The 12172-nt window shown below is 42.3% G+C and overlaps 1 protein-coding gene across 2 annotated transcripts in view; it reads left to right on the plus strand.

Annotated features, from left to right (window-relative positions):
• PLCB1 (phospholipase C beta 1) overlaps positions 1 to 12172 on the plus strand; it is a 752635-nt gene that overhangs the window by 630427 nt on the left and 110036 nt on the right. For both annotated transcript variants that reach the window (NM_182734.3, NM_015192.4), the window contains exons 26-27: positions 2447 to 2666; positions 11847 to 12027. In NM_182734.3, the coding sequence (NP_877398.1) occupies positions 2447 to 2666; positions 11847 to 12027 (401 nt within the window). The remainder of the gene's footprint in view (positions 1 to 2446; positions 2667 to 11846; positions 12028 to 12172) is intronic.

Below are 12172 nucleotides of genomic sequence, written 5' to 3' on the forward strand. Positions count from 1 at the left end.
ATGTACCTGGTTTTCTCCATGGCCTCATTCTCAAAAGAGATCGAATGTCAGGAGAATAGACACAGTATAAGAAAAGGAAACATATTTCTATTGCTTAAAGACCTTAACATTTAATAACATAACTTATTATTCTAGTCTCAATGTTTATTCACTAGACATCTTATTTTCTATTCAGGTCTCTTGTTATTCACAGCATATATTATTTCTGAATCTCTTGATAGTTTCAAATATTTATGGTAACATTTTTTGTTCCCAGAAGCAGGACATTCAATTCAAACCATGGAAACATGTGAACTATGACTTGATCTAGGTCCATATAAATGATAATTCACTGGAGTTAAGATACCATCAGTTGTAAAGCATCCTACGTTCATGTATTGCTAAAAAAGAAAAGCACTGACCAACCATCATACCCCACCAACCATAAGATGCATCTTGATTTCGGAAATGTTAACATATTTTTTAAATGCACATTCTAGAATTGATTGAATATATCAGTAAAATACAGATTAGTTTTGTTTTGTTTTGAGACGGAGTCTCACCCTGTCGCCCAGGCTGCAGAGCAATGATGTGATCGCGGCTCATTGAAACCTCCGTCTCCCGGGTTCAAGTGATTCTCCTGCCTCAGCCTCCCGAGTGGCTGGGATTACAGGTGCCTGCCACCACACCTGGCTAATTTTTGCATTTTTATTTATTTATTTATTTATTTAGAGACAAGAGTCTAACTCTGCCACCCAGGCTGGAGTGCAGTGGCACAATCTTGGCTCACTGCAACCTCTGCTTCCCAGGTTCAAGCAATTCTCCTGCCTCAGCCTCTCGAGCAGCTGGGATTATAGGCATGTGCCACCATGCCCAGCTAATTTTTGTGTTTTTAGTAGAGACAGGAGTTTTGCCATGTTGGCCAGGCTGGTCTCGAACTCCTGACCTCAGATATCCACCCACCTTGGCCTCCCAAAGTGCTGGACTTACAGGCATGCGCCACCACACCTGGCCTAATTTTTGTATTTTTAGTAGAGATGGGGTTTCACCATGTTGGCCAGGCTAGTCTCGAATTCCTGACCTCAGGTGATCCTGCCTCGGCCTCCCAAAGTGCTGGGATTACAGGCATGAGCCAATGCACTTGGCCCAGAATGTTTTAAGGTCAGACTCTATCACATTCAAAGTTTTCTCAGCATGGGATAAAAAAATCAGCCAGGCATGGTGACTCATGCCTGGAAATCCCAGCACTTTGGGAAGCCGAGGAGGGCAGATCACTTGAGGCTGGGAGTTTGAGACCAGGCTGGCCAACATGGCGAAACCCCGTCTCCATAAAAAATAGAAAATAATTATCCGGGCATGTTGGTGCATGCTTGTAATCCCAGCTACTTGGGAGGCTGAGACATGAGAATCACCTGAACCCGCGAGGTGGAGGTTGCAGTGAGCTGAGATCACGCCACTGCACTCCAGCCTGCGCAACAGAGCAAGACTCTGTCTCAAAAAAGAAAATAGTAATCATAATCATAATAATATAGTAAAGTGGGCTGCTAGTAAGCCTCTGGTGACTTTGTGCAAATTATATTAAGGTATCTTCCCTCAAGACACTTTACTGCTATATGCTTTTATGATAAATGTACCAGCTTATGATGTTTATACTGTAAATGATACCTTTTAGAAATGATGTTGTAGAACCTGCACAGTTATTTTCTAAGCCTCCACAGGCACAGTGCCAGAAACTGAGTTAAATACTTTCCATGAGTTCTTTTATTTCATCATCTTAACAACCCTATAAAGTTATAGAAGTATTATAATCCTTATAGCAATGCTGTTGGTGCCCTGCCCAGATTCCTTGTACAGCTGGTGCACCCGTCTCCTGGCTGGTGGTGAGGGTTGGCTGTTAACAGCTCATAACTTCTCCTTCTCTGCAAAATTGCCCTCAACCAAAAGGAAGCCCCCTCTCCAGATGGTTATGCCTCCCTGCACTGAATGTTCCAAATATGCAAGAAGCTTGCCTTCTTGCCTCAAGATGAGACCAGCTCAGTGGTACAACTCACACTCCAGCACTTCCCCATGGGATCAGGCAGAGACCAGACTCCATCCTTCTGAGACCACACCCTTGCTCAGCTCCTTCCCCAGCCCCGTCTGCTTTCCTGGCTCCCCTACTCTGAGAGTCCCTCAGTAAATCACGTGCACCTGAATCCCCATCTTGCATTCTGCTTCTAGGGAACCCAAACTAAAAATATATGTATTCGAATGAAGCAATTGGGTCTCTGAGAAGTTTAGTAACATAGTCTCAAAGTTAGCAAGTGATAGAGCCAGACTGGAACCCAGGTAGAGCTGACATCAAGCTTTGCTCTTAAACTCTAGCTGGGCAAGATCAACCATTTCTTCCTAAGAAGGTAGCCGCTCTTCTTTCCATCTGGATGTTCAGCCCTCCCATTCCCTTAGCTTTCATATTCATTTGTTGCAGAAGTGGAAGCACAGACCATCGAAGAACTAAAGCAACAGAAATCGTTTGTGAAACTTCAAAAGAAACACTACAAAGAAATGAAAGACCTGGTTAAGAGACACCACAAGAAAACCACTGACCTTATCAAAGAACACACTACCAAGTATAATGAAATTCAGAATGACTACTTGAGAAGGAGAGCCGCTTTGGAAAAGTCCGCCAAAAAGGACAGTAAGAAAAAGTAAGTTCAATGAATATTTTTAGTTGGTTTCATAGCATGAAGAGTTGTTAACATGGATTTTTAATGTTTTATATCATATTTTTGGACCTGTACCATGGCAAGAAAACCACCTAACCTCCGTTCTCCATAGCTTTTGTGGCACCTTAGCCCAGATTTGCTTGTGAATTGAATTTTTTTATTTAACCAAATTCTGAGAATAAATATGCAGGAAGTCCTCCTGTGAGTCTAGCCTGCGATCCCAATTCCAGTTAACTAACTTCCTATATTACAGCTGCCAATCTCATGGGTATGAGACTTTGCCTGGAGTACCTAGAACCTAGTTGGAGAGGCAGCTGATTTTTTTTTTTGAGACAGAGTCTTGCCCTGTCACCCAGACTGGAGTGCAGTGACATCATCTCGGCTCACTGCAACTTCTGTCTCCAGAGTTTAAGTGATTCTTGTGCCTCAGCCTCCCAAGAAGCTGGGATTACGCCACTACGCCTGGCGAATTTTTGTATTTTTAGTAGAGATGGGGTTTCACCAGGTTGCCCAGCTGGTCTTGAACTCCTGGCCTCAAGCGATCTGCCTGCCTCGGCCTCCCAAAGTGCTGGGATTACAGGCATGAGCCACCATGCCTGCCCACAACTGGTCTTATAGAAAAGAGAAGCTTACTATCCTTTGCTACCCTGTCTGAAATCCATAATGCCCTACACAGGTGACTCTAATTTGGGCCTGGGTTCCCACAGCCCCATATACCCAAACCTTGATGATGAGAAGCATCTCTCACACATTCACTTAATTAATATTTTTTGAGTGCCTACTGTGCCCTGGGGACACAGCAATAAACATGACCTACCCAATCATCTCAAATAGTAACATGGTAATGTGGGAAACATAAATAATAAACAACAAACACACAGCATCATCTCAGGCTGTGATGAGGACTATCAAGGAAAGAAAGAAACAGGACCATGGGGTAGAGAATGACTGGAGATAGGAGATCCCTTCTGACATGTTGATCTGCAATAAGGTGGCACAGAAAGAATAAAGCCTGGTCAGCTATGGAAAGAACTAGGGAGACTTACTCCAGGCTGAGGAAACAGCAAGTGCAAAGGCCCTCAGGCAGGAAAAAAATGTGCTTGTGCCAGGAACAGTAAAGCTGGCAAAGTGGGTGAAACATTGTAAACCATGAGAGGAGTGAAACAGGATGAGATCAGAGAAACAGGAGGGAATCCCACTGCTAGGTTCTTTAGAGCTAGAGCAAGCAACAGTTCAAAATGTATCGAACGTGCAATAAGATTCTACTGAAGAAAGAAATTGATATGGCGAAATTTGAGAGTCTCAGAGCAATGACTCTAGCTGCTGTGTGGAAGAGGGACCCTCAAGCTGTGCATCTCAAATGGACATGAGTCACTGGGGATCTTGTTAGGTGCAGGTTCTGCTCCATGTCTGAATTGGGGCCTGAGCAGCACCAGGTGATGCTGATTCTGCAGTTCCATGGACAACACTCTGAGTAGTGAAGATCAAGGACTCAGAGTGAAAGCAGGAGACCAGTTAGGAAACTTTTTCATGAGTCCAGCTGAGTAATGATGGTGGTTTGGTCTAGGATGACGCTGGTAGACATGGAGAGAAGGGGATGAATTCTTGATTTGTTTTAAAAAGATCGTAAAATATGGGGTCAGAGGCCTGGAAGAGAGAAGCCTGCTTGTATGTCTCTGCAATTCCCAGGTGTCCTTTAGAGAATGAAACTCATGCTGTTACCCACACCAAATGTGTTCATGAAACTCCATTATCTAGCCTAGATCAGTGCATCTCAAATTTCAGTGTGCATGTGAATCACTTGCAGCATTTGCTAAACACAGACCCTCGGGACCTGACCCTAGAGTTTCTGCCTCAGGGGCCTCCTTCGGTAGGGACTGAGCTTCTGAGCTTCTAACGAGCTCCTAAGGTTTGCTGATGCTGCTGGTCCACAGACTTTCCACTGATGGGCCCTGGTCTATAATCATTCAGGAGCATCCTAGAAATTGAAGGGTGGCTGAAAGGCTTTCTTTGGTCTAATCCCTGCCTCCCTTCCCAGCTGCCATCTCCCAGCACTTCATATGAAAACCTGTACTTTCTGCCGAGTTCCCACCATGATGAGATAGGGCAGTTAGGATTCTCTGGGCTCAGGGCCCTTCTTCAATTGCAAGACTCTTGTGTGAACAATGCAGACGCTGCCTCTAAACTCCAACAAAGACCTGCTTCCAAATGTGAGGTTGCCGTGTGGATTTCAGAGTGTCACCCGCTCTCAGAACCCCACATGTGGACTGCGCATCATAGCTTATCATGGGACTTTGTGGACACAGGGTCTGGCGGACCACAGGGGGCTTCCTCTCTTGAACCCTGTCGAGGGCTGTTCCCAGTTCTGGAATAGCATTTCATTGAGTGTCAACAAAGTACTGGGCATATGTGTCATATCAGTTTCCTAGGATTGCTGTAAAAAGTACAGCAAACTGGATGGCTTAAAACAATAAAAATGTATTTTCTCACAGTTTTGGAGGCTAGGAATTCAAAATCAAGGTGTTGGCTGGGCGCAATGGCTCACTCCTGTAATCCCAGCACTTTGGGAGGCTAAGGTGGGAGGATCACTTGAGACCAGCCTGGGCAACATGGTGAAACCCCATCTCTACTAAAAATATGAAAATTAGCCAGGCATGGTGGCACACACCTGTAATCCCAGCTACTTGGGAGGCTGAGGTAGGAGGATTGCTTGAACCAGGAGATGGAGGTTGCAGTGAGCCGAGATGGTGCCACTGCACTCCAGCCTGGGCAACAGAGAAGGACTCTGTCTCAAGACAAAACAAAACAAAACAAAAAAACAAAATCAAGGTGTTAGTGGACTATGCGCTCTCTGAAAAGTCTAGGGGAAGAAACTTTTTTTTTTGTTTCTTCTAACTTCTGGTGGTTGCTGGCAATCTTTGGCATTCCTTGGCTGACAGACATATCACTCCAGTCTCTACCTCCATTATCACATGAATTCTCCCTGCGTAGGTGTGTCTTGGTCCAAATTTCCCTCTTCTAATGACAGACACCAGGCATTAGATTCAGGTCCACCCTAATCCACCATGACCTCATTCTATTACATTTGCAACAACCTCTTTCCAAATTAGATCACAGGCTGAGGTTCTGGGCAGAACCTGAAGTTTACCGGGATGTTATTTAACCCAGTACATGTGCTAATCACTTCTATGTACTATTCCATATATTTCTCACAGCAGCACTGTGAAGTAAGTACAGGCATCACCCACATTGGATAAGAGAGGACCTAAAACTCATTGAGGCCAAGTAACCTGGCCAGGGGCACATGCAACACACAAGGCCATAGTGACAGTGAGGTCATGGCGTGGTGCCCCCTGAGATACTACTTGTGTCAGATGACATAGCAGATCTGGAATCTGCATCTCTGTAGACCTGTGACTGCTTCTGGTCCGTATACTTATAATCTTCTATCTCTATACAACAAAACAAACAGATGCATGAAATAAATATGCCCAAATAAATTCCCTCGTTAACTATCCCTAATGTTAGGAGATTTCTCTTCTAAATTTAGATTCCTGAAATTTCTTTGAATATCTTTTGCAGGTATATAGTATGAACTTCTTGACAATAAATAATGTTTTGCAACATGAAGTTCTCTAATCAACAGCATTAATTTTTACATAAAAATCTTTTCTTCAAAGTTGAATAATTAGGGAAATGGAAATAAATGCAGTGGATTTAAATTTTGTTGCTATCTTTTGAGGTCACAGACAGTTCTTGTCTTCCTCAGGGCTTATTTAGCTGTCAAGAATATTTTTAATTTCAGATATTTAGTGAGCATTAACAGAGCGTTGTGTAAGACATTGCTCTTAAGTATCTTTAAACATCAACTCATAACATTTTTAAAATAAAAATTAACATTTTATTTTTAAAATAAAATGTTATTTGTGGTTTTAAAAAAAAGTGTATCGTTTAGAAGACATAACTTTCAAAAGCAAAAGTATCCCTTAGTTCTATTTCTATATATATATATAGCATTTTAATGAATTGTAGCATCAAAAGAAGTGAAAAAAAGCCTTTTAAGTTTAAATTATTGCTCCACTTAATTTTCTATACTATAGTATATAAATTACTCTTATCAGATAGCCTATTTTTCATATGTTGGCTAACCAATGGACAACGTATTGCCAAAGATAATCCAACGACCTTCACAGCTCTAGGAAATCTTATGTAGAATTGGTTGTACATTTACTGAAAACTTTTTTGGAATCATTGTCATCAGCTGTCTCAGTAAAGATTATCTCAAAAGCTTGACTGATAATAATTGCCACTGAGAAATAAAATTTCATTCTTTAACTGAAAACTTTATTAATTACCCTGAAACTATGTAAGTATGTAAGTGACCTGTCAATGAGCAAAGTATAAGACATATTACATCCTTCCTTTACTGAATAATCTTCTTTTGATGCCAAGTTATAGAGATAAGATGCATTTTTTAGATTTATATTGTGACATATGATTTAACACATGCTTAAATTGAAAGCACTATCAAAACCTAATACTTGGGCTTTAAAAAGTAATAAAATCATCTCTTTTTTTTTTGTTTTTTGTTTTTGAGATGGAGTCTCACTCTGTCATCCAGGCTGGAGTGCAGTGGTGCGATCTCGGCTCACTGCAAGCTCCGCCTCCCGGGTTCATGCCATTCTCCTGCCTCAGCCTCCTGAGTAGCTGGGACTATAGGCGCCCGCCACCACGCCCAGCTAATTTTTTGTATTTTTAGTAGAGACGGGGTTTCACTGTGTTAGCCAGGATGGCCTCGATCTCCTGACCTCGTGATCCGCCCACCTCGGCCTCCCAAAGTGCTGGGATTACAGGCGTGAGCCACCACGCCCAGCCAAAATCATCATTTCTTAAGCCTGGAGGATCCTTAAAGGCCATCTAGGTGATATTTGTCACTTTTTCAAGGAGGAAGCTGAAAGCTAAAGGTATTACCATTTACCTGTAGTTACACAGCCAGTTCAAGCAAAGCTTGGCCTAAAACTTCTCCTGAATTTCTGCTTTAGTCTTATGTACTATGAACCCCAAAAATCTGAGACAGTTAATTTAGCAAGTTTATTTAGTAAGTTCATTTTTCCAAGGTTCAGGACATGCGCCTGTGACAGCCTCAGGAGGTCCAGATGACATGTGCCCAAGGTGTTCAGAGCAGTTTGTTTTTATACATTCTAGGGAGACATGAGACATCACTCAACCTATGCAAGATGAACACTGGTTCTATCTGGAAAGGCGGGACAACTCGAAGCAAAGGCAGGAAGATGGGAAGCCGGGAGGGGGTTTCCAGGTCATAGGTAGATAAGAGACAAATGGTTGCATTCTTCTGAGTTTCTGATTAGCCTCTTGGAAGGAGACAATCAGATATGCATTTATCTCAGTGAGCAGAGGCATGACTTTGAATAGAATGGGAGGCAGGTTGGCCCTAAACCATTCCCATCTTGACTTTTCCCTTTAGCTTAGTGATTTGGGGCCCCAAGATTTATTTTCCTTTCACTGTACATATTTGTTTATTCATTTTTGTATTTACTTGTAAGTCATATCCTGCAAACTTCCAGTAGAATATTGAAGGTAACATCATAGAAGATTTGTATGTAAAAATCCCATGAAAATAGAAAGAGAAACAACACACATGCGTAGACTAAGCTTTGGACAAATTATCTAGACCTGCTGCCCAATACAGGAGCCACTAGCTACCTACCAGTGGCTCTTGAGTCCTTGAAATATTGCTCGTGAGATGTGTTATAACTACAAAATACACACCAGATATCTAAGACTTCACTTTTTTAAAAAAGAATGTAAAATAGCTACAACATATCTGTTGATTTTAATTACATGTTGAAATGATATTTTGGATATATTAAGTTAAATAAAATATATTATTAAAATTAATTTCACTCACTTATTTTTACTTTTTAAAGTGACTACTAATAGTTTGAAATTACATATGTGAAGGGAATCACATATGTGGTTCTCATTCTGTTTCTACCAGACAGCGCCAGCCATTTAATGTCATCTCTGTCCTTGAACACTGAATTCAGCTCTTAGCTTCTGAGAAAAGGAGTATGGGTTTGATAATTCTCCTCATCTGATTAAAGGAAACTTGCTGACTCTTCCAAGAGAGACAAGCGTTTTCCTAGTATTAAATTGCCAGAGATTTAATTTCATGGATCTTATACAAGCAGCAGAGGGGATAATGCCTTCAACTTTGTTTTTATAGAAGATGCAGAGACGTTGTTCACTTGTTTTTTTCTTGTGTTGTCCTTTAAAACAAAACAAAACCAAAAAATCCCTTAGTACATAGTATCTAAAGATACGTCATGAGGAGCTTTTCTTCAAGTGGCAAAGCCAGTGGGTCTGATTATGTCTACCTGTCTTCCATCTCTCTTGATATGCAATAAAATCCTGAAAACACCTCAGATAAATGAATGGATGGGCATTATGTACATTGAATTTGTTTCCTTCCTTCCTTCGTTCCTTCCTTCCTTCCTTCCTTTCGACAGGGTCTTGCTCTTTTGCTCAGGCTGGAGTGCAGTGGCATGATCACAACTCACTGCAGTCTCGACCTCCTGGGCTCAATCAATCCTCCTGCCACAGACTCCCGGGTAGCTGGAACTAGTCGCATGCCACTAGGCCCGGTTAATTTTTTTTTTTTTTTTTTTTTTAGAGGTGGGGTCTCACTACCCAGGCTGACTTTGAACTTCTGGGTTCAAGTGATCTGCCCACCTCGGCCCCCAAAAGTGCTGGAATTACAGGCGTGAGCCACCAGCACACCAGGCCTGTTCCTAATACTCTGTCTTTCCCTGTTTCCTACAGATGATAATATAGAGTACAAAATTGGAATGAATCACACCAATTTCTTTAATATTCATCATCTCAAGTGAGCTTTCTACATAATGTGAAGAACAGGTTACTCAAAAATAGTTTTGGTCCAGACATGGCATGCAGTCATGCTGTGTTGCTCTTAAGAGCACAGGTGTTGCCCTTCTGCCCCTGTAATTTTTGACCTTGGGCAAGTTGCACTACTGCACCTCCATGCTGTGTCCTTGGCCAATTATCTCACAGAGCCGTGGTTTCCTCAAATGTAAGCTGGTGATGGGTATACCGACTTACTCGGATACGAGTGTGCCCGGCATATGGGGGGATGGTTGGCAATGAGAGCTACCTCTGCTAGAGTGGTTGGAACTGATTGAAGAAATGCCTTTATGCCCTGGTTACAATGATTTCCTGCTATATAAGATCATTCAGGCCGGGCGCGGTGGCTCATGCCTGTAATCCCAGCACTTTGGGAGGCCGAGGTGGGCGGATCACCTGAGGTTGGGAGTTTGAGACCAGCCTGACCAACATGGAGAAACCCTGTCTCTACTAAAAATAAAAAAATTAGCCGGGCATGGTGGTGCATGCCTGTAATCCCAGCTACGGAGGCTGAGGTAGGAGAATCACTTGAACCTGGAAGGCGGAAGTTGTGGTGAGCTAAGATCGTGCCATTGCACTCTAGCCTGGGCTACAAGAGCAAAACTCCATCTCAAAAAAAGAAAGAAAAGAAAAGAAAAAAGATAATTCAATGTTAACTATGTCATGCCAAGAGGAAAGTTTCCCTCAACACTGCAGTGAGGAGCCTTATAGAATGTCCGTCCTCATTTGGCATTGCACATAAAAATGCAAAAAGAAACTTGAGAAAATTCCGCATCCCTTATTTGACAAAATCTGATTCTAACACCAGCTTCAACCAACTCCCTTCCCCATGTGATGCCACTGATGCTGGCCCAATTCAAAGAAAAAGCAACCAGAATTACTGACAGCTGATTCTAAGAAACTTTACCTGGCCTATCGGACCACAAGTGAAAAATATGGAGGCAGAGTCTGATGTGTTGAATGTCTTAGGTAGTCTTTCGGGAAGGGATTCCATATAAATGAAAAGAGCATACCTACTCTTTGTACCCTGTTCCCAATACTCTGTCTTTCTTTCCACTGTTTCCTACAGGTGATAATACAGAGTACAAAATTGGAAGGACTCACACCATAAGTTAATGATAATTACTTTAATTTATTTTGACATTCACCCTAACCTTCTAAATATTTGTATAATTCTCTAAGAACAATGCAGAGAAAGTCATACTGCTAAGAGGAAGCATTCGAAATATTTTAGAATGAACTAACGCATCTCTTTCCCCTTGTAAGCTTTGTGTGGAAAGTGCCATTTGGGTAAAGATATCAGTGAAGTTGGTGAAGCCTCCAAAGGGCCTTATTTTCATTGTGTGTCTTTGCTGTTAAAAATCTTGTTAAGAGGCCGGGCACGGTGGCTCACGTCTGTAATCCCAGCACTCTGGGAGGCTGAGATGGGCAGATCACTTGAGGTCAAGAGTTTGAGACCATGCTAGCCAACATGGTGAAACCTCATCTCTAATAAAAATACAAAAATTAGCCAGGTATGGTGGCACATGCTTGTAGTTCCAGCTACTCAGGAGGCTGAGGCAGGAGAATCACTCAAACGTGGGAGGTGGAGGTTGCAGTGAGCTGAGATCATGCCACTGCACTCCAGCTTGGGCAACAGAGCAAGACTCTGTCTCAACAACAACAATAAAATTGTTAAGAAACAGAACTCAGATGTCAGCCAGGAGGGTTATCTGCACACGGCATCTACACGTGCTCTCTGTTTATAATCATCACCCCTGATGCTAAACAAGGCACATCTTTAGCTTCCTCTAACAAAGTCTGCTCAATGCAGTGTCCTCTGAAGTTTTCATACGGGAAAGGTAACTGGGAATGCCATTACACTTGTCACATTTTAAAATAACAAAAAAGATTAAAACCTGAAAATTTTTTATTAGACACTGTTTTTCCCAAACGGAGATTATTATTCTCACCACTGCCATGCCTAGGGCCCCCAGCCTCTTTGCTTTTCTTTCTGCCCCTGCCTCTTTCTAGAGCACCATGAATTCCATTCAGTCTCTGGGATTGGAGACACTCTATTGCTAAGCTTGTCCTTGGGGTCTCACCCTCTACCCCAAGTGGCTTATGAAAATATGTATTTCCAAACAGAGAACTTTCTCTAGGAGGAATTCTGGTGAATAACCTTCCCTCCACCTTGTTATGGCCTGTCTGTTTTGTGAGTCAAACTCTGTGTCTTTGCAGATCGGAACCCAGCAGCCCTGATCATGGTTCATCAACGATTGAGCAAGACCTCGCTGCTCTGGATGCTGAAATGACCCAAAAGTTAATAGACTTGAAGGACAAACAACAGCAGCAGCTGCTTAATCTTCGGCAAGAACAGTATTATAGTGAAAAATACCAGAAGCGAGAACATATTAAACTGGTGAGCCTGAGAAACATGATTTATGTTTGTGCAACTGGAACTCCCTTATAGGAAACTTTGGATACTTTTGGATAACTAAAAGGAGACAAGGGTGGGTGTGACTGGCACCAACTTGAGAGATTGTTTAGGTGACACAGTGTCCATC

Source organism: Homo sapiens, chromosome 20 (genome assembly GCF_000001405.40).
Source record: "Homo sapiens chromosome 20, GRCh38.p14 Primary Assembly".
NCBI lineage: Eukaryota > Metazoa > Chordata > Mammalia > Primates > Hominidae > Homo > Homo sapiens.